This window comes from Homo sapiens, chromosome 4, assembly GCF_000001405.40.
Source record: "Homo sapiens chromosome 4, GRCh38.p14 Primary Assembly".
In the NCBI taxonomy this organism is placed as follows: Eukaryota; Metazoa; Chordata; class Mammalia; order Primates; family Hominidae; genus Homo; species Homo sapiens.
This window is the reverse complement of record NC_000004.12, coordinates 72,493,050-72,516,681: the sequence shown is the minus strand read 5'-3', so window position 1 is coordinate 72,516,681 and position 23,632 is coordinate 72,493,050. Positions and strand designations below refer to the sequence as shown.

Sequence of the window (23,632 nt, the reverse complement as noted above, 5' to 3'; positions counted from 1 at the left end):
CAATGTACAAAAATCACAAGCATTCTTATACACCAATAACGGACTAGCAGAGAGCCAAATCATGAGTGAACTCCCATTCAAAATTCCTTCAAAGAGAATAAAATACTTAGGAATCCAACTTACAAGGGACATGAAGGACCTCTTCAAGGAGAACGACAAACCACTGCTCAATGAAATAAAAAAGGATACAGACAAATGGAAGAACATTCCATGCTCATGGTTAGGAAGAATCAATATCCTGAGAATGGCCATACTGCCCAAGGTAATTTATAGATTTGGTGCCATCCCCATCAAGTTACCAATGACTTTCTTCACAGAATTGGAAAAAACTACTTGAAAGTTCATATGGAACAAAAAAGAGCCCGCATTGCCAAGTCAATCCTAAGCTAAAAGAACGAAGCTGGAGGCATCACGCTACCTGACTTGAAACTATACTACAAGGCCACAGTAACCAAAACAGCATGGTACTGGTACCAAAACAGAGATATAGAACAATGGAACAGAACAGAGCCCTCAGAAATAATGCTGCATATCTACAACTATCTGATCTTAGACAAACCTGAGAAAAACAAGCAATGGGGAAAGGATTCCCCATTTAATAAATGGTGCTGGGAAAACTGGGTAGCCATATGTAGAAAGCTGGAACTGGATCCCTTCCTTACACCTTATACAAAAATTAATTCAAGATGGATTAAAGATTTACATGTTAGACCTAAAACCATAAAAACCCTAGAAGAAAACCTAGGCAGTACCATTCAGGACATAGGCATGCACAAGGACTTCATGTCTAAAACACCAAAAGCAATGGCAACAAAAGCCAAAATTGACAAATGGGATCTAACTAAACTAAAGAGCTTCTGCACAGCAAAAGAAACTACCATCAGAGTGAACAGGCAACCTACAAAATGGGAGAAAATTTTCGCAACCTACTCATCTGACAAAGGGCTAATATCCAGAATCTACAATGAACTCAAACAAATTTACAAGAAACAAACAAACAACCCCATCAAAAAGTGGGCGAAGGACATGAACAGACACTTCTCAAAAGAAGACATTTATGCAGCCAAAAGACACATGAAAAAATGCTCATCATCACTGGCCATCAGAGAAATGCAAATCAAAACCACAATGAGATACCATCTCACACCAGTTAGAATGGCAATCATTAAAAAGTCAGGAAACAACAGGTGCTGGAGAGGATGTGGAGAAATAGGAACACTTTTACACTGTTGGTAGGACTGTAAACTAGTTCAACCATTGTGGAAGTCAGTGTGGCGATTCCTCAAGGATCTAGAACTAGAAATACCATTTGACCCAGCCATCCCATTACTGGGTATATACCCAAAGGACTATAAATCATGCTGCTATAAAGACACATGCACATGTATGTTTATTGCGGCACTATTCACAATAGCAAAGACTTGGAACCAACCCAAATGTCCAACAATGATAGAGTGGATTAAGAAAATGTGGCACATATACACCATGGAATGCTATGCAGCCATAAAAAAGGATCAGTTCATGTCCTTTGTAGGGACATGGATGAAATTGGAAATCATCATTCTCAGCAAACTATCGCAAGGACAAAAAACCAAACACCGCATGTTCTCATTCATAGATGGGCATTGAACAATGAGAACACATGGACACAGGAAGGGGAATATTACACTCTGGGGACTGTTGTGGGGTGGGGGTAGCGGGGAGGGATAGTATTAGGAGATATACCTAATGCTACATGACGAGTTAATGGGTGCAGCACACCAGCATGGCACATGTATACATATGTAACTAACCTGCACATTGTGCACATGTACCCTAAAACTTAAAGTATAATAATAATTAAAAAAAAGGAAAAAAGATTGTAAATATTGGAGTTAATTTTTAAATGCTGTTAAGTAATCATTAATTTGGATTACTTTTTAAATTTTATTTTAGTTTTACCCTTGAGGTTTGTCTGTGTGTAAGAAGCTATGTTAAATGTTTTGGTGAGGATATATATTACTTAAACATGGGGCTTACTCTCAAAAAGTTTACCATCCAGTCGGTAGTGAATACTAACTACAGGATGAGTCTAGGCAGAAGAATAGGCAGGTACGTGGCAAAGCTGGTAGATGGGCTGAGTGAGCTCAGAGAAGCCTAGCTGGATAAAAATCTAACAAAACTTCTGCGAGAGAGTTTTCCTCAGAAAAGAAGAGCCAGCTATTCTTAGCTTGATTTGGTCTTGGACATTGAGACAGAGCAATTCTGATGATAATGTTTGTTTTTCATGGTTTTATAATACTCCCACCCTCAATAGATTCATGTCTGAGCCCCATGCAAACAAAGGTGAGCATCTAAATAAAAACTGTAGTGAGAGAAGCCTTATTCACCAATACATGGGAAACATGTCTTGAAGCCTCCTAGAAGTACTTGTAACTTGTATGGGCCTAGTAATCCTGTATCAGCAGGTTCAAGAGTTGGTGACATTGAATTTATTACTATTAAGGGGACCCATCAGTGCCCATAGATGGGTAAGGCCTGGTGACAACATAGTGATTATAGAAATAACTGTTACACCAATTAAATTGAGAGGCGTTACTGAGAGAGAGAGAGAGAAGGAGAGGGGGTGAGGAAGAAGGAGAGAGATGAAAATTCAGAGGACAGAATAGAATGATTACTCTCATCTTAGAAGTCAAGGAAGACTTTTAAGAGGAAGGTCTTAAATAATATTTATCCTCAGTGAAATAACTCAGAAATAGAAAACCAAATACTGCATATTCTCGCTTATAAATAGGAGCTAAACAATGGATACACATGTTTACCCTAATAACAGACACTGGGGACTCTAAAAAGAGGAAGGATGGGAGAGGAGTGAGGGTTTAAAAATTACCTGTTGGGTACAATGTTCTCTATGTGGGTGATGGGTACACTGGAAGCCCAAACCTTACCATTATGCAATATATTTATGTAAAAAAACTGCAGGAAAAAAGAAAAGAATATTTAAGATTTAAGCATACAGAGACAGGAAAGAGGGAATGCTAGTGTCCAAATGAAGGAAAATCTGAAAGTAAACATATGGATGTGACAAGTATGGGGAAAGAAGGAAGTTCAAACATTAATTTGGCTTCATCATAGAACATGAAAAGAGCTTTGGAGTGTCAATAAACAAGAGTCTTCTGATCAGAATTTTACTCAAGAAGGTTAATCCGTTAGATGGTGGGGAGTGAAACGGAAGTGGAAAGACAGTGGTGGGCAGTAGTTTGGAGGCTACTGCAATAGCTAGATAATAGACAGTATAAAGAGGAAGTAGAACAGTAGCTGTGGTCATTGAAAAGGGAAAGATGGTATAACATTATTGAGTGGAATTCCTAAGATATGCCAACTGCTGTGAATGAAGAGGGAAGAAAGGAGTGTGTGTAAGGGATCAAAGATGAGTTGGAAAGTTTTGAGCTGGCATGACCAAGAAATATGGGAAATAGAATAGGTAAAGTAGAAAACATAAATTTTATCTAAGACACATTGCATGTGAACTGTCAACAGGATGTGCAGGCAGAGATGTTTAGAAGACAGGAGATGGGAGTCGTGGGTACTCTCCAGAGACAGTACATGGCTAGGGACAGGAATTTGGAAGACATGGAACTTTTAAAGGAGGTAACTGAAGCTGAGACAATAGATAGAATTAAGGAGTGTTTGGAGAGGAGAGCTGAAGTATGATGTCTTGAAGATGTATTTTTAAGAGCATTTTTAGGCTGATTGGGGATGCAGAAATTTCCTATGTACCCTCTGCCTCCACACGTGAAAAGAATACCCACTTTTTGGAGAGCAGGAGGAGAAGCCAGAAGAGACAAAAAGAAGTGGCTGAGCCAAGGAAACAAAACTTCAAGAATAGCATGCTCTTAGAAAAAATGAATGTAAATTTTAGGGTCAAGCTTATTTTTTTATTTATACTTTTAATTTTTGTGGGTACATAGTAGGTGTATATATTTACGGGGGGCATGAGATGTTTTGATACAGGCATGCAAGGTGAAATAAGCACATTATAGAAAATGGGTTCTCCATCCCTTCAAGCATTTATCCTTTGAGTTACAAATAATCCAGTTGTACTCTTTCAGTTATGTTAAAATATACAATTTAGTTATTGACTATAGTCACCTTGTTGTGCTATGCTATCAAATAGTAAGTCTTATTTATTTATTTATTCATTTATTTTTGAGACGGAGTCTTGCTCTGTTGCCCAGGCTGGAGTGCAGTGGTGCCCTCTTGGCTGACTGCAACCTCTGCCTCCTGGGTTCAAGCGATTCTTCTGCCTCAGCCTCCCGAGTAGCTGGGACTACAGGCACATGCCACCATCCCTGGCTAGTTTTTGTATTTTTAGTAGAGACAGGGTTTCACCATATTGGCCAGGCTGGTCTTGAACTCCTGACCTCAAGTGATCCACCCACCTCAAGATCTGTCCACCGCGGCCTCCCAAAGTGCAGGGATTACAAGTGTGAGCCAGTGCACCCAACCAGGTCTTATTTATTCTTTCTACTTATTTTTTATACCCATTTACTGATCCAACTCCCCACAACCCTCCCACTACCCTTCCCAGCCTCTGGTAACCATCCTTCTACTCTCTACATCTATGAGTTCAATTGTTTTGATTTTTAGAGTCTACAAATAAGTGAGAACATATGATGTTTGTCTTTCTGTTCCTGGCTTATTTCACTTAACATAATGATCTCCAGTTGCATCCATGTTGTTGCAAATGACAAGCTCTCGTTCTTTTTTATAACTGAATAGTACTCCATTGTGTGTATGTACCACATTTTCTTTATTCATTCATCTGTTGATGGGCACTTAGGTTGCTTTTAAATATTAGTTATTGTAAACAGTACTGCAGCAAACCTAATAGTGCAGATATCTCTCTGATATACTGATAGCCTTTCTTTTGGGTATATACCCAGCTGTAGGATTGCTGGGTCATATGGTAGCTCTATTTTTAGTTTTTTGAGAAACCTCCAAACTGTTCTCCATTGTGGTTATACTAATTTACATTCTCATTAACAGTGTGCAACAGTACCCTTTTCTCCACATCCTCACTAGCATTTGTTACTGCCATTTGGGTATAAGTCATTTTAACTGAGGTGAGATAATATCGCATTGTAGTTTTAATTTGCATTTCTCTGATGATCAGTGATGTTGAGCACGTTTTCGTATGTCCGTTTGCCATTTGTCTGTCTTCTTTTGAGAAATGTCTATTCAAATCTTTTCCCTAATTTTGGATCAGGTTATTAGATTTTTTTCCCCTGTAGAGTTGTTTGAGCTCCTCATATATTCTAGTTATTAATCTCTTGTCAGATGGGCAGTTTGCAGATGTTTTCTCCCATTCTGTGAGTCATCTTTTCACTTTGCTGTGCAGAAGCTTTTTAAGTTGATGTGATCCCATTTGTCCATTTTTGCTTTGGTTGCTTGTGCTTGTGGGATATTGATCAAGAATTTTTTGTCCAGATCAATATCCTGGAGATTTTCTCCAATCTTTCCTTGTAATAGTTTCATAATTTGAGCTCTGAGATTTAAGTCTTTAATCTATTTTGATTTGATTTTTGCATATGGAGAGACATAGGGATCTACTTTTATTCTTCTGCATATGGATATTCAGTTTTCCCAGCACCATTTATTGAAGAGACTGTCTTTTCCCCATTGTATGTTCTTGGCACTTTTGTAGAAAATGAGTTCACTGTGTGTGTATGGATTTGTTTCTGGGTTCTCTATTCTGTTCCATTGGTCTGTATATCTGATTTTATACCAGTATCATGCTGTTTTGTTTATCACAGCTCTGTAGTGTAATTTGAAGTCAGATAATGTGATTCCTCCAGTTTTTTTTTTTTTTTTTTTTTTTTTGGCTTAAGGATAGCTTTGGCTATTCCAGGTCTTTTGTGGTTCCACATAAATTTTAGGATTGATTTTTCTATTTCTGTGAATAACATCTATTGGTATTTTGCTAGGGGTTACATTGAACCTATAGATTGCTTTGGGTAGTATGGACATTTTAACAATATTGATTCTTCAAATCCATGAACATGGCATTTTTTTATGTTTTGGTGTCCTCTTCAATTTATTTCATCAGTGTTTTATAGTTTTCATTATAGAGATCTTTTATTTCTTTGGTTAATTCCTATTTAATTTTATGTGTGGCTATTGTAAATGGCATTACTTTTTTATTTCCTTTTCAGATTGTTCACTGTTGGCATATAGAAATGCTACTAATTTTTATACGTTATTTTTGTATCCTGCAACTTTACTGAATTTGTTTATCATTTCTAATAGTTTTTTGGTGGAGTGTTTAGGTTTTTCCAAATATAACATCATATCATCTGCAAACAAGGGTAATTTGACTTTTTTCTTTCCAATTTGGATGCCCTTTATATCATTCTCTTGTCTGATTGCTCAAGCTAGGACTTTTAGTACTATGTTGAGTAACAGTGGTGACAGTGGGCAGCCTTTTCATTTTCCAGATCTTAGAGGAAAGAGTTTCAGTTTTTCCTCATTTAATATGATACTAGCTGTGGGTCTGTCATATTTTGCTTTTATTATGTTGAGGCATGTTCCTTCTTTACCTGATCTTTTTGAGAGTTTTTTTTTTTTTATCATGAAGGGACATTGAATTTTATCAAATGCTTTTCCAGCATCAATTGAAATGATCATATGGTTTTTATTCTTCATCCTGTTGATATGATGTATCACGCTGATTGATTTGCATATGTTGAACCATCCTTGAATCCCAGGGATAACTCCCACTTGGTCATGATGAATGACCTTTCTAATGTATTGTTGAATTTGGTTTGCTAGTAGTTTTTTGAGGATTTTTGTGTCAGTATCCATCAGACATACTCACCTGTAGTTTTTTTTTTTTAATGTGTCTTTGTCTGGTTTTGGTAACAGGTTAATAGCAGCCTCGTAGTATGAGTTTGGAAATATTTGCTCCTCCTCCATTTTTCAGAATAGTTTGAAAAGGATTGGTATTAGTTCTTTAAATGGTTGGTAGAATTCATCAGTAAAGCCATCAGGTCCTGGGCTTTTCTTTACTGGGAGAGTTTTCATTATGGCTTCAATCTTGTTACTTGTTATTGGTTTGTTCAGATTTTGGATTTCTTCGTGGTTCAATCTTGGTAGGTTGTATGTATCTAGGAATTTGCCCATTTTTCTAGTTTTTCCAATTTATTGGCACATAGTTGCTCATGGCAGCCATTAATGATCCTTTGAATTTCTGCACTATTTGTTGTAATGTCTGTTTTTCATTTCTGATTTTATTTATTTGGATCTCCTCTCTTCTTAGTTTGGCTAAAGATTCATTCATTTTGTTTGACTTTTCAAAAACCCAATTTTTTGTTTCGTTGATCTTTTGTATTTTTTCTTTTAAATTTCAATTTCATTTATTTCTGGTCCGACCTTTATTTTTTTTTTCTTCTACTAATTTTGGGTTTGCTTTGCTCTTGCATTTCTAGTTCTTTAAGATGCATCATTAGATTGTTTATTTAAAATTTTTTCTCTTTTTTGATGTAGACACTTATAGCTATAAATTTCCCTCTTAGTTCTGCTTTTGTGTATCTCAAAGGTTTTAATACGTCATGTTTCCATTATCATTTGTTTCAAGAAATTTTTCAATTTCCTTCTCAATTTCTTTATTGACCCACTGGTCATTCAGGAGCATATTGTTTAGTTTCTATGTATTTGTATAATTTCTAGAATTCCACTTGTTATTAATTTCTAGTTTTATTCCATTGTGGTTAGAGAAGATGCTTGATATTATTTCAATTTTTTTGAATGTTTAAAACTTGCTTTTTGACCTAACATATGGTCTATCCATGGGCATAGTAAAAGAATGTGTATTCTACAGCTCTTGGATGAAATGTTCTGTAAATATTTATTAGATCCATTTGGTCTATAGTGTAGATCAAGTCTTGGCTCATATTTAACTTGGTAAAAAAATTATACAGTACGTATTTTTTGTTAACTCAAATTATGCCAAAATAGTATTCCTCCTAAGAAATTCTTATAGAATGTAATAATGAATAGCTATGACTGATTCAATATTGGTATTATGAAATTACTCTTGTTTATGATTGAATCAGCCAGATGATATTTGTAAAAACATTCCTTCGAAAATTCAAATTCTTTTCTCTAACTCTTCTTTTTCTTGGAAAAACTTATTAAGGAAATGAAACGTATTTAAATCAGAAACTCATTTAAATCCTTTTTTGACTCATCTTCCTAATGTAAAATATGACCATACTCATTGTTTTCTCCAATTACCTTGAAAAATATCTTAGAAAAGTAAGATAAAAATAACTCTCAATTTTTTAGGTTATTGGTGGGAGATTTTAACCACTAACCCATTTTAACTCTTCCATTCAGTCTGCTTATAGGCCTCTAAAGAACTATTGCTATGAGTGAGTCATTGCTGAGGTACTGAGACAAATGTAACACCCCAACTGTTAGCTGTAATTTATAGAGAGGAGATTTGCAGGGTCAGTGGAAATGTGTGTTTAGGGGGACTTCTATGTTTTACTTTAATGACTTATGAATATTTTACAATGTGCATGTGTTTGTTTATTGCCCTTCAGAGATGTGGTTTTGAATTGTGCATGTAACTATGCATATTATTGTTATGGTGAATGATAATTTTGCACAGTCCATGTTATTATGCATTTTACTTGCATATATTCTAAGGTAAAAATGACATACTTGATGTTAATAGAGGCATATGTGACTTAATAAATCAGCATAAATGTAAAGCAGTAAACAGGCAATAAGGCGTTAAATATGCAAGTCAAAAAAGGACATTTGACTGTGTACTGGATATTCATAACAGGAGATTTCAAACCTTTAGTTAGAAAATAGACAGATAGCCTGTGGAGGGTTTTGTTAGGCTAACAGGATAAACACAAGAGTGGCTCTTGATTTTATGACAATCTGAAAGGGTTTCATGGATGCAGTGGTGGGATTTTTATAGTGCTTTAAATGCTCATTGAGAAACAGTGCCCTACAAATAGTGTACCGAAACAAGGTGTGTTCTCAAAATGTGTCTCTCTTATCAGTTGGAGTTTTTTGGTTGCTGGCAAGAGAAATGCTATCTGGATAACATCATGAAATAATGAAATATACTAGAAACATATTAGGTAATTAACAGAAATTGAAGGCAAACTTAAGCAACCAAGCTTCAAGAGCAAGAACTGGGATAGTGAGAGGACTCACAATCAAAACATAGTTCCTGGGAAATTGGAATGGTTAGGTTCCAGCTATTTCGTATGGCCCTTATCTAGATTTAAATTCTCAGGAGTCAGATTCTGATTGTACAATCTTGGATTGAGTTACCAAGGCACAGTAACTAACAGCTCATCAGAGCTGCTGAGACTCAGCAGGGGTTGCCCTCCGAAAGAGGCATAAGGTGTGGTTGTCACAAGAAGAGGAAGGGAAGCTGGGCAGGCATATATAATGGACCTGCCACAGACAGTGATGGTGCTTTGTAGTTCTTTTTTAAAAAGTAAAAATAAAAAATAGGCCTGAGTGGTCTCAAACTATATTTATACACACTTATATATGCAGATATACACATTCACACATACATATTTTATATACTGCATTTAGATAATCTCTGCCACTTTTTCCTTCATTCACTATTCTTGTTGATATATGGAGTGGTACACTACAGTCTTCTTTTCTCCCCTCAAAGAAAAAATTTAGAAGAAGGTGGATTAGAGGCTTTTAGTGTGCTTCAGGCACTTGGAAATAGCAAGATAGTGCATAAAGACCAACTCTGTGAACTTTAATTCAGGAAGAAAAATGGGAATCCACTGGAATCATGAAGGACATCCCAGATCCTGGTGGGGGAAAATGTGGGCAAACAGCCACATGACAGAGACTGGCTGATAAAAGTGAGTGAAGCCCCAGTATGTGAGAGAAGCAGAGAACCTCCCTCTGTGACACACTTTTCCACTGGGTATGTGAGCAACCCAGGTCAAGGAAGAACGCTCTGTTTCTCCCAGGTCCTGGAGGTAACTTAGGGAGAGGCTTAGAGATGCTGTGAGGGAAAGATACCAGAAAGAGCTGCAAGCATTTCCCTAGATGTGGGACTGAGAACAGCACACAATTTTTAACCTGAGTTCATATAAAATCAGCCATTCTGTGGTGAGCTGGCATGATGGACATGTAGGCATTTTAGTCTTGGGCCAGCAATTGAACTGCTTGCTTTGGAGCAGGGTAGGGGTCACCACAGCCAGAACTTTGGAAAGTGCCTCAACAGTTGGCACTGGAATTGTGCCCTCCCCCAATCACAGTTCTTCTGAATGATGAGACCTGCAGCCAGGGCCAGCTTGACAACCTGGATCTGGTCTGCATGTGCCATTGCTGGGTGCCCCAGCCTGTTCCCCTGAGATTTTTGTGCAGCAGGGTCTTCTCTGTTCCAGAGCCAGGCAGATCTCCAGGCTTTTTGAGCATCCCTTCACCTTGATCAGCAGCCTAAGCCACCCCACTTTTCCTGTGCATAGATCGTAGTGCAGTGGAGCCCTCTTTGCTCTATACATAAGCAGATCTCCAAGAATTAGGAGCAACTGCTAGCATAGACTAACAGCCTGAGTCACCGCATCTTTCTGTGCAGAGATCTGGGTATGGGGGTGCCCTCTCTGCCTCATGCTCAGGCAGATCTCCATGCATTGGAAGCCCTCATTTGCCTGGTTCTGCAGGCATAATTGCCCCACTCTTTTTGTTCAGAGATGTTGGTGCAGGGACACCATCTCCACTCCACACCCAGGCAGATTTCCAAGCATTTGGAGCACCTGCTCACCTGGAACAGCAGCCTGAGCTGCTTCACACTTCCTATGCAGAGAGATCCTGGTGCAGGATGGTCCTCTCTGCTCCATGCCCAGGCAGACCTACAGCCATCTGGAGTGTCCACTTTCCAGGATTAGAAGTCTAGGCTGCCCCCTGCCATCTCCAGGCAGGGAACTCAGGGCTAAGGAGGTTTCCCAGTTTCATGCCTACCTATACCTCTGGGTACTTGGTGGCTGCCCACTGGACTGTCTCTTAGCACTTGTGCATGTGCCTGCCATCAGGGGACCTGTAGGTGTATTTGTCCATCTTGCCCTTCCCCTCTACCGTCTCCTTCCAGGGCTGAGGAGGGAGCTTGGACTGCTGTGCTTTCCAGGAGTCAGCCCATTCCCTGGGGCAACAGACAGCTTTTACCAGTAAACAAGGATCAAGCATATACCCTGCCTTATTGGCCATAGCCGGCTCTTACCCATAAGCGCCATCTACTGACTTATAGGTCAAATTGCATACCCCAGTAAAAAAATCTACCAACAGAAGTGCATAGTGCTATAGGGTCAAAGACAAAAGACCTTACCCATCATTTTCTTCAGTCACACACTCTAGGGAAGAGGGTAAAGAGACAGGGAAAGAAGAAACAAAACAACAGTATTATAGAGAAAAAGAAAAAATCCTACCCACATGAAAATAACTATAAAAATTAGAATTGCCAGCATCTCCAAATGATAAGGAACTAGCACAAGAATTCTGACACCATGAAAAATCCGAATGTAGTGACACCACCAAAGGGTCTCACTAACTCTCCAGCAATGGTCCATAATCAAAATGGAAACTCACAAATGACAGATAAAGAATGTAAAACGTGGATTGCAAGGAAGCTCAACAAGATCCAAGTCAAGGTTGAAAATCAACACAAAGAAATCTTCTAAAGCAATATGGGAAATGAAGGGAGAGATAAACATCTTAAAAAGAAATCAATTAGAGCTTCTGGAATTGAAAACCTCACCTAAGAAATTTCAAAATATGATTGAAAACTTTATAAGTAGCTTTACCAAGAAGAAGGACTTTCAGAGATTGAAAACTGGGTTTTTGAACTAATCCAGTGAGTTAACAATAAAGAAAAAGAATTAAAATAAATGAACAAAACATTTGAGAAATATGGGATCTTGTAAAGCATACAAACATACAAATTATTGGTGTTTCTGAGAGGAGGTAGAGAAAGAAAACAACCTGTAAAAGATATTTGAATGAAAAATTTAAGAAAATTTTTCTAACCTTCCTAGAGAGGTAGATATCCAAGTATAAGAAATCCAGAGAACACCTATGAAATACTATACAAAACTAACATCCCTAAGGCATATGGTCACCAGACTGTCCAAATCCAGTGCTAAAGAAAAAAAATTAAATGTAACCAGAGTAAAAGGTCAGATCATGTACAAAAGGAACTCTATTGGGCTAACAGTGGTCTCAGCAGAAACCTTACGAGCCAGAAGAGATCAGGGCCTATTTTCGGCCTTCTTAAAGACAAGGAAGTCCAATCAAGAATTTCATATTTCACCAAACTAAGCTTTATAAATGAAAGAGAAATAAAATATTTTTTCAGACAAGCAAGTACCAAGGGAATTTACCACTAGACCAACTTTACAATAAATCTTGAAAATGATAAAACAATACCTGCTACCACAAAAAGACACTTATGTACATAGCCCACAGACCCAATAAAGCAACCAAACAGTAGAAACTACAAAGCAACCAGTCAACAACTTCATGATAGCATCAAAACCTCACATATCAATATTAAAATGTAAATGTTCTAAACATCCCACTTAAATGGCAGAGTGGCAACTTGGATAAAAAAGCAAGACCCATCCATCTGCTGTCTTCAAGAGACCTATCTCACACATAATGACATCCATAATATCAAAATAAAGGGTTGGAGAAAAATCTATTATGCACAAAGAACACAACAAAGAGCAGGGATAAGTATTCTTATATTAGATGAAACAGACATTAAACCAACAACAGTAAAAAAGGACAAAGAAGGATATTACATAATGATAAAGGGTTAAATTCAACAAGAAGACTTAACAGTCTTAAATATATACACATCCAACATTGGAGGACCTGTATTCATAAAGTACTTCTAGACCTGTTAGGAAATGTAGACAGTCACACAATAATACTGAGGGATTTCAACAACTGACTGACAGCCTTAGAAAGCTCATTGAGGCAGAAAGCTAACAAAGAAATTCTGGACTTAAATTCAACACTTGACCAATTGGAGCTGATAGACATCTACTGAATACTTTACCCATCAACCATAGAATGTATATTCTCAATTGCACATGGAAAATACTCCAAGATAGACCACATGCTTGGCCATAAAGCAGTCTCAATAAAATAAAAACACTGAAGTCATACCAACTATAATCTCAGACCACAGTGGAATAAAAATAGAAATCATTACCAAGAAAATCTCTCAAAACCACAAAGTTACATGGAAATTAAACAACTTGCTTTTGAATGAATTTTGTGTAAACAATAAAATTAAGGCAGAAATAAACAAATACTGTCAAGGCTGGGAGTGGTGTCTCACGGCTATAATCCCAGCACTTTGGGAGGCTGAGGTGGGTGGATCACAAGGTCAGGAGTTCAAGACCAGCCTGGCCAAGATGGTGAAACCCCATCTCTAGTAAAATACAAAAAATTAGCCAAGCGTGGTGGTGGGCACCTGTAATCCCAGCTACTTGGGAGGCTGAGGCAGAGAATCGCTTGAACCTGGGAGGGAAAGGTTGCAGTGAGCTGAGATTGCAACACTGTACTCTAGCCTGGGCAACAGAGTGAGACTCCATCAAGAAAACAAAAACAAAAGAAACAAAAAAAACCTTTCAAATAAATGAAAATAGAGACACAACATACCAAAAATATCTAGGATACAGCATAAGTAGTGTTAAGAGGAAAGTTTATAGTGCCAAACACTTACCGAGGGGAACATCACACACCAGAGCCTGTCAGTGGGTGGCGGGCTAGGGGAGGGATAACGTTAGGAGGAGTACCTAATGTAGGTGATGGGTTGATGGGTGCAGCAAACCTCAATGGCAAGTGTATACCTATGTAACAAAACTGCATGTTCTGCACATGTACCCCAGAACTTAGAGTGTAATAATAATAAAAAGAAGTTAGCAAGATCTCAAATTAATGATCTAACATTGAACTTAGGGGAACTAGAAAAATAAGAACAAACAAATCCCAAAGCTAGCAGGAATCACTTAAGTCAGAAAAGAACTGAATGAAATTGAGACCCAAATATCCACACAAAGAATCAAAGCAACCAGAAGTAGGCGTTTGAAAGAATAAACAAGATTGATAGATTGCTCTTTAGATTAACTGTGAAAACAAGAAAGTCCAAATAAGCACAATAAAAAATGGCAAAGGTGACTACAACTGATTCCACAGGAATACAAATGATTCTCAGAGACTATTATGAACACCTATGTACACACAAACTAGAAAATCTAGAGGAAATGAATAAATTCCTGGAAACACGCAACCTTCCAAGATTGAATCAGGAAGAAATTGAAACCTTGAACAGAATGGTATCAAGTTCCAATATTCAATCAGCAATAAAAAACTTACCACCAAAAAGAAGCCCCAGACCAGATGGATTCACAGCCAAATTCTACAAGATGTACAAAAAAGACCTGGCACTAATCATACTGTAACTACTCCAAAAAATTGAGGAGGAGGAACTCCTCCCTAACTCATTCTATAAAGCCAGCATTACCCTGATACCAAAACCTGGCAAAGACATAACAAAGAAACAAAACTATAGGCCAATATCTCTGTTAAACATAGATGCAAAAATCTTGAAAAGGAAATACTAGCAAACTAAATCCAGCAGCACATCAAAAAGTGAATGCACCATGATCAAGTAGGCTTCATTGCTGGGATGCGAGGTTTGTTCAACAAACACAAATCAAAAAAGGTGATTCACCATATAAACAGAATTAGAAAGAAAATCATACGATCATCTCAATAGATGTGGAAAGAGCTGTTGATAAAATTGATAACATCCCAGTATGATAAAAAAACCCTCAGGAAATTAAGCATTAAAGAAATATACTTCAAAATTTTAATAACTGTCTATGACCAACCCATAGGAGACAACGATACTAAGCAGTCAAGAACTGGAAGCATTCCCCTTGAGAACAGGAACAGGAAGCTAACTCTCACCACTCCTATTCAACATAGTACTGGGAGTCCTTATCAGATAAATCAGGCAAGAGAAAGAAATAAGATATCCAAATAGGAGAAGGAGTCAAATTATCTCTCTTTGCTCATGATATGATTCTAGAGCTAAAAAAACCCTAAAGACTCTGTCAAAAAGCTGCTGGTACTGACAAATGATTTCAATGAAGTTTCAGGATACAAAATCAATGTATAAAAATTAGTAGCATTTCTATATATCAATAATGTTTAAGCTGCGAGCCAAATCAAGAACACAATCCCATTTAAAATAGCTTAAATAAATATACATAAAATACCTAGGAATACATGTAACCAAAGAGGTGAAAGAGCTCTACAAGGACAACAATCAAATACTGCTGAAAGAAATTATAGATGACACAAATAAACTGAAAAAAATTTCATGCTCATGGATTGGAAGAATTAATATTGTTAAAATGGCCATACTGTCCAAAGCAATTTACAGACACATTGCGAGTCCTCTCAAGCTACCAATGTCATTTTTCACAGAATTTGAAAAAACTATTTTAAAATTCATATAGAAACAAAAAAAGGCTCAAATAGTCAAAGCAATGCTAAGCAAAAAGAACAAAGCCAGAGGCCTCACATTACCTGACCTCAAACTATACAATAAGGCTACAGTAACTAAAACAGCATGGTACATGCACAAAAACAGACAAATAGACCAATGGAACAAAATAGAGAACTCAGAAATAAAGCCACATGCCTACAGCCATCTGATCTTTAAAAAACTTAACAAAAGTAAGCAATAGGGAAAGGACCCCCTATTTAATAAATGGTGCTGGAATAGCTGGCTAGCCATTTGCAGAAGAACGGAACTACTCCTACCTTTCACTTTATATAAAAATTAACTCAAGATGGATTAAAGATTTAAATGTAAGACCTCAAAATACAAGAATTCTTGAAGAAAACCTGGGAAATACCATAATCGATACCAGCTTTGGAAAATAATTTGTGACTGTGTCTTCAAAAGCAATTGCAACAAAAACAAAAACTGACAAGGAGAACATAATTAAACTAAAGAGCTTTTCTGTACAGCAAAATAAACTATCAACAGATTAAACAGACAACCTACAGAATGGGAAAAGTATTTGCAAACTATGCATCTGACAAAGATTTCATATCCAGAATCTATAGGGAACTTAACTGAACAAGCAAAAAGCAAGTAACTCCACTTAAAAATGGGCAAAGAACATGAACAGACACTTCTCCAAAAGAGATGTACATGCCAACAAACGTGAAAAAATGCTCAATATCACTAATCATCAGAGAGATGCAAATCAAAACCACAAGGAAATACCATCTCACACCAGTCAGAATGGTTATTATTAAAAAGTCAAAAAATAACAGATGCTGTCAAGGCTGCAGAGAAAACGGAATGCTTATACACTGTTAGTGGGAATGCAAATTTGTCCAGCCACTATGGAAATCAGTTTGGAAATATCTCAAAGAACTTTAAACTACCATTCAACCCAGCAGTCTCATTACTGGGTATATATCCAAAAGAAAATAAATCATTCTACCAAGAAGACACATGCACTTGTATGTTCATTACAGCACTGTTCACAATAACAAAGACATGGAATCAATCTAAGTGTTCATCAGTCGTGGATTGGATAAAGAAAATGTGGTACATATACACCATTGAATACTTTGCAGCAATAAAAAGGAATGAAATCATATCCTTTGCAGGAATATAGATGCAGCTGGAGGCCATTGTTCTAAACAAATTAACACAGGAACAGAAAACGAAATACCTCATGTTCTTACTTATAAGGGTGACCTCAACAATAGGTACTCATGGACATAAAGATGGGAATGATGGACACCGAGGGACCACTACAGTGGGGAGCTAGGAAGGATGGCAAAAGTTGAAAAACTATTGGGCATTGTGCTCAGTATCTGGGTGACGGGATCAATTGTACCTCAAACCTCAGCATCATGCAATATACCAAAGTAACAAACCTGCAAATGTACTCCCGAATCTAAAATAAAAGTTGAAATTATCAAAAATGGAAAAATTTAAAGAAATGCCTGAGCCCCCGAAGATACATTGTTGTAGAGTGCAACATATGGCAAGTACATAGGTCGGTGTAATATAGGAAGTTGATTTTTGGTTGTTAATAAATGTAGTTTACCACTTTTTAGACTAAGAGGTATGTTCTCGCATCATTTTTTAGTGGAATTTATATTGACTTGTATAAATAATCTTGTCCACCTGTAGGAGGAGATTATCCTGCTGAAATAAGCTTTTCCTTCTGATGTACTGTTTAGCTTCTGATCCAGGACTTGATTTACTATAATTAAAAACATGTACAGTGCTGTTAACAAGTATCTAAAGCTTGCGCTTACTTTTGTGAATAGATTTTTAAACATAGATTCTTATTATACTTTAATAATGGGAAGAAATTTCTTATTGCATTTCACAGACTGTAGACAAAACAATGGAAGATGTCTTCTGAATTTGTTTACAGACCTTTCAGATTCCAGATCTGTGATTCTCAAACTTCCTTTGGTATGAGTCTCACATGGGGTGCTTGCTAAAATACACATTTCTGGGCTGACTTTTAGAGATTTGAATTTGGTAGGTCTTGTAGGGGCTGAAGATTCTAGTTTTATCAAATATTCCGTATGATTATGATGCAAGTGGTCTGTGGACCATAATCTTGACAACCCTGTTATAGGTGATTTTATATTAGCTTATAAATAGTGTCAGAGATGGAAGAATTATGTGTAATCAGTTCAAAGGCATGGACTTGAAGTATTGGAACAATGAACATTCAGATTATTTACTTCTGAACCACTCTTTTACCAATGTGGCCAAGAATTCTGTTATTACTGAAACTATGAGACAGCTTTATGGGGAAGTTAAAGAGAAAAGAAACTTTGGAAGTGAATCCTAGATGCTCCAAGAATATTTTAGTTCTACACACATCTCACATATTAATAAACGTGTGTGTGCGTGTGTGTGTGCGTGTGAGAAAGAGAGAGAGAGTGAGAGAGAGAGAGGGAATATTGAATATTTCAGGGTGAGGTAGAATGTTCTGTTTTTCTTGCTTTTGTTTGGAATACATTAATATCCTCTGATGAATGTGATTTAGTAGGTATGCCCAAACTGTAGTTTCATTCTTTATTACCTTGAAAGTTGTATTCTCATTCATGTACTTTTTCTTCTGAAAACAAATTCTTTTTTTTACAGGCTTTTCTAGTAAAACTCTTTTTATGACTTCTATTACTCTCAATATAAGATGGTTTGAGTTCTGATGTCTTTTTTTTTACATTACTGTGAGTAGAGCTCGTGATGTCATTGATACAATGGCAGGGATGCTGGGAAATCTGATTTCAATTCCTAAAAGCACTATAGATGGCTTAAAAAGTTATAAGGAGTTGTTAGACCAGAATGCGGTGCAGAAATCGTAGAGTGCTTACTTTTGAGCAAAATGATAAATATTGCCAGCCTCAATATATAGTGTTCGCTCTCTAAGACAAAGGACACATTTTACTTAATATGTTATACGGAAAACACTTAGTTATATACTGGTCTTTTTAGTTATGCCTGAAAGTAGTCACAATTATCTGCAGAAGCATCTGCATGTACAAAGAGAGAATTTAGAGAGCTAAGGGCCAAATTTCAGTGGATATTGACATTTTACAAATTGCCATAGCCTTTGAAAGCCTCAAGCATGAAAAACAAATCTTTTTATCTTTTAACTGAGCTGAGAAAAAGTCCTTGAGGCACAGATAACTGACTTATCTTTAGCGATGTGAATTCAGAAATAAGTTTTTAATTTTTTATTTGTTCAAATTATTGAGACAAACTTTTGGATGAAGTTAAAATTAGGCTGGTCAGTTTTTATGTTAATGTAAATAGACTTTTTTTCTGATGATAATCATTAATCTATAACAAGAAAAGTTGAGATTTTTTTGGAGGCAGCTTTGTTATATTTTAAATATTAGGGCTTTAGTTTCAGATCTTTGAATATCTGTAAATCTTATGATATATTTAGAGTATAAAAATATACTTTCCTTAAAAAACTGAGCTAATATTTTATGATATTCTTCTGGGTTAATAATTTTATGGGCTATGTTTTGATAAAATATTTTTAATATTTAACATAATATGTACTAAAAGACTCTCCTTGATGTCTCTTCAGTTATACCATTTCCATAAAAATGTAAGCAATAGATAGGAAAATGTTTTACAAGTTCTCCAAAAGAGTATGTTTATAGTTACATTCTGTAGAACAGAAGTAGTGACATATTAAAATAGAAAATAATGTGCTAATTCTACTGCATACTGAGGCCTTGCTTATCCTGCATTTTTGATCACGATATAAAATATATTCTGGATTTTGTGGTAGTGTCTGTATATGCATTTCCAGAATAGAGATTTCTGTAACCTTAAGTGATAGAATAAAGTACATTTGCATTTGTTCTTAAGATAAAATACTTCCAACAGCTTTATCCTTCCTTCCATCATAAATTTGTGGATTATATAGGAAAAAAATATTCTATTAATTAGTGGATATATTAAACATCTGATAACTTCCCTTTACACAAGCAGAGTGTGCTTTAGATTAAAGCCTCTGGCAGCTTCCAAAGGGGGGACCTGGAATGACACCTGGAAGAAATATTGGATGTTAGAATTGTTATTGTGCAAAGTGGGTGAGAGAGAAGAAGTTCCTTTAAATTTTGAACTTCAAAAATATGGTATCAAAATGGAGGATTTTTCTTGATGTGCGGCTGAATGTTTATTTTTATAAGTCAGTTTTAAGTGTATTTGAGTTGAAATATACAGAATTATAATTATCATCTTCAGAAAGCAAACAGGAGACAGGTGTACAAAAGGACAAAAGTCCATGTAAAGTGAGGAGGCCATTGGATTACCACTCTCTTATATCCCAGCCGTTCAAAGAGCCTTCCTTACTATGTTTACTATCTTCCCTCCTAGATATTTCAATGGAATTAAAATGAATAGGGACAGTATAATCGATGGCTTCTGACACTAAGCTGTATTGGTCCTGGTGGGCTGGAAAATCTAAGCTCCATAGTGGTCATAGGATTGATGATACTAGGAGTGGCAGACACTTTTATATACCTATGCCATATAGCGGGATGCTTGTGAAGATTAATATCCAGTAGGAAACAAGACAGATTACAGAGGTTGGAAAGGATCAGGCTGATGCTAGTCTTACCTTTAAAAAATTAAAGAAGAAAGGTGAGATCTGAATGCCATGGTCAGGATAATCCACAAGATGGAGTTATTTTACACTGGTAAAACATCTCTAAAATGAACACTTGACTTGAGTGAACAATACTGCTTTCAGCAAGAGAAAGCCCAAAGTAGGAACACTTAATTTATTACATTTGAAGGTATGACTAGAAAACCACACAAGAACTACTGCTGTGATGACGTGTTAATCATTCCAGATTTTATCTGCTTATTTTGCCAACTCTGTAGATTGAAGATTTCCTCTGTAAGATTAAGTAAGCACCATTCTTATGCCATGTTTGCAGGAGCTACAACTGAGAAAAGTCTAATAATTTTCTTTACAGATTTACAACTCATTTCAAAAGATTAAATGGAAAAAATAAAAAAGCTCTCCCATTATAGTCATTTTTGATATCTAACACTTTATAGTGACTGGCACATAGTAGGTACATAGTACATTTGTAGTTGACAAGATTGCTTACATGGAAAGATGTAGACCAGAAATAGTGCTGTATTGAGTTAGCAAATAGTGTGTTAATTTGCTTCTGTGCAAAGTCCTTGCTGTATAGTAGGTTTGTATTATGGTTCTATCTTTTAACCAGGCTTAAATATATATTCCAAAAAGTGTCCTTTTCCAAAATTGTTTGTAATGTTCTAAAGATCTGGGTTGGCAGCACATTTAATATATATAGGTTACTGTGAGAAAGTTGCTTTTTTTGCTGCAGGTTATTAAAAAATAACTGAAAGAGGTAGGTCATGATTTGATGATTTTTCTAGGTATTTTTTTGCAACTGTTATTATTGAGTTAAACTTTGTAGCCTTACCTGTGTATTTCTACAAAACAATGTTTTAAAGGAGTTTGACAAATAATGTCTCTTTTTTTCTTTGTAAAAAGGTAGTCAGTGTCTCCTGCATTCCTTCCAGATACATAGCTAATAGTATATAAAATGTAAGCTTATTAATAATGTAAACCTGGCTTTTCAGTTTAAGTAATAAATAATTGATTGAACCCCACCCCATCTGAGAGCAGAGATACCACAGCTGCACCTTCTTCCCCATCCTGCTGATTTGCTGCTGTGCCTGCCATTTCTCTCTTTTCCAGCCAGAGCTACCAGTTCCCTACAATGACTCTATAGACCCCACAGACCCTGGGACTATTCCACACATTTTCACACCTTAGATAACGGTGTCACTACTGCAGTGAGTGTGCCCATTCCATGGTTCCAAGTGCTGTGGTTGTTCTACACACCCCAAAGCCTTGGACCCTGTCTTCGCGGCTGCTTAGCACACTCAGGCCTTAGACACTTACACCATCATTATGGTAAGGGCACCTGTGTCCCAGACCCGGACATTGCTGCCACTGGTTGTGTGCGCCCACATGTCAGACCTGGTGCTAAAAGGGATTCCCTTGGTCATGACTTCCCCCATGAGGGAAAAGGAGAACTAGAGGACCCCAGCAACCTTTTCCATTAAGGACACCAAGAGTCCTTTTTGCTGCCAGGTATATTTGTAACCTTGGCTGCTGAAGATCCTCATAGTCTCTGCTGATGCTGACCTAGCTGATGTAACTCTGTGGAGATTTCATTGTTGCATCTGCCTGAAGCCAGAATTACTACTAAGCACCCCCAAACTGAGCCAAAGCTGTCACACCCTACCCAGTTGGCACTGTCACACCCTACCTTAGGTAAATATCTTTCTGAAGCCAGTTCATAAAGTCTGGAAGAGGCTACTGCTCCCTCAAATGTGCAGATGTCAATGCAAGGCTACAGGAAACACAAAACATCAGCTAAACATGATATCACCAAAGCAACATGATAATTTTCCAGTATCTGACTGTAAAGAAATGGAAGTCTATGAACTGGGTAAGAGTTCAAAATAATTCTTTTAAGGAAATTAAGGTAGCTAAAAGAGAACACAGATAGAAAACTTAACAAAATCAGAAAACAATACAAGAACAAAACAAGAAGTTCAACAAAGACATAGAAATCATAAAAATAGAACCAAACAGAAATTCTGGAGCTGAAGAATACAATGAATGGAATGAAGAAAGCAATAGAGAGTGTCAGCAACAGACTCAATCAATCAGAAAAATATCTAAAAATGTGAGGACCCATGGTTTGGAGGTTCCCAGTCAAAGAAGGACAAAGAATAAAAAGGAATGAAGAAAGCTTATGAGACTCATGATGCATCATCAAGAAAACTAAAATATGCATTTTGAGAGTTCAAGAAGGAGAAGAGACAGATAAAGGAGATGAAAGCTTATTTAAAGAATTAATATCTGAAAACTTCCCAAATCTTGAGCGGGAAATTGACATTCTAGTTCATGAAAGCTGTAAAGTCTCCAAACATGATAAACCCGAAGAAGACTATACTGAGGCACATTGTAATCAAATTGTCAAATGTCAAAGACAAAGATAGAATTTTGAAAGCAGCAAGAGAAAAGCAACTCATCACATACAAGGTGACCTCTATAAGACTGACAGTGTATTTATTTTTTTTTAGCTGTCCAGGAGTGATTTGTATGATATATTAAAAGTTCTGAAAGAAAAAAACTCCACAATAATACTATACTTTGTAAAATTATTTTTAAAAATGAGGGAGAAATAGTGACTTTCCTAGATAAACAAAAACTGAGAGAGTTTGTCACCACTAGACTTACTTTACAAGAAATGCTTAAGGGACTTTTTGTATTGAAATGAAAATATGCTAAACAACAACAAAAAGCATTTGAAAGCATAAATATAACAGATACAGCCAAATGGACATGTACAAATTAATGTAACATCATCAAAGTGGTGCATAAATTACTTTTAATATTAACACATACATTAATAGATAAAAATGTGTTAGTGGTTACACAGTATGATATGAAGCACACTCTTTCTACAAGAACACAAAATGTATGTATGAGGAGTAAAAGTATAGTGTTTTTGTATGAGATTAGAGTTAAGTTGTTATCAACTTAAAATAGAAGGTTAAAACTATCAGATATTTTATGCAAGCCATGAGCTAACCACAAAGAAAAAGCGTGTAATAGGCACACAAAAGATAAAGAAAATAAATCAAAGCAAATCACTACAAAAATAGAATAACAAAGGAAGATAACAAAAGAGGATGAGACAGACAAAACCACTGTAAGATAAACAGAAAACAACTAACAAAGTGGTAACAGTATGTCCTCACCTAAAAATAATTTCTTTAAATATAAATGGATTAAACTCACCACCAAACAAAAGTCATAGGATAGAATGGCTGAATGGACAAAAAACAAATTTGGTGATATGTTGTCTATAAGAGGTTCACTTTAGAATTAAAGACACATAGGCTAAAAGTGAAGGGATGTAAAAAGATATTTCATGCAAATAAAAG

The 23,632-nt window shown here is 36.4% G+C and overlaps 1 protein-coding gene across 3 annotated transcripts in view, besides 1 other annotated feature; it reads left to right on the top strand.

The window, feature by feature from the left end:
- The window catches only part of ADAMTS3 (ADAM metallopeptidase with thrombospondin type 1 motif 3), a 288,253-nt gene that overhangs the window by 52,540 nt on the left and 212,081 nt on the right, over positions 1 to 23,632 (top strand). The window lies entirely within an intron of this gene.
- Positions 11,036 to 11,330: an enhancer, noted in NCBI's record as "tiled region #5509; HepG2 Activating non-DNase unmatched - State 13:Ctcf, and K562 Activating DNase matched - State 12:CtcfO". NCBI's record gives its function as "activates a minimal TATA promoter and a strong SV40 promoter by Sharpr-MPRA in HepG2 and K562 cells {active_cell/tissue: HepG2 | K562}" and the evidence as "EXISTENCE:reporter gene assay evidence [ECO:0000049][PMID:27701403]".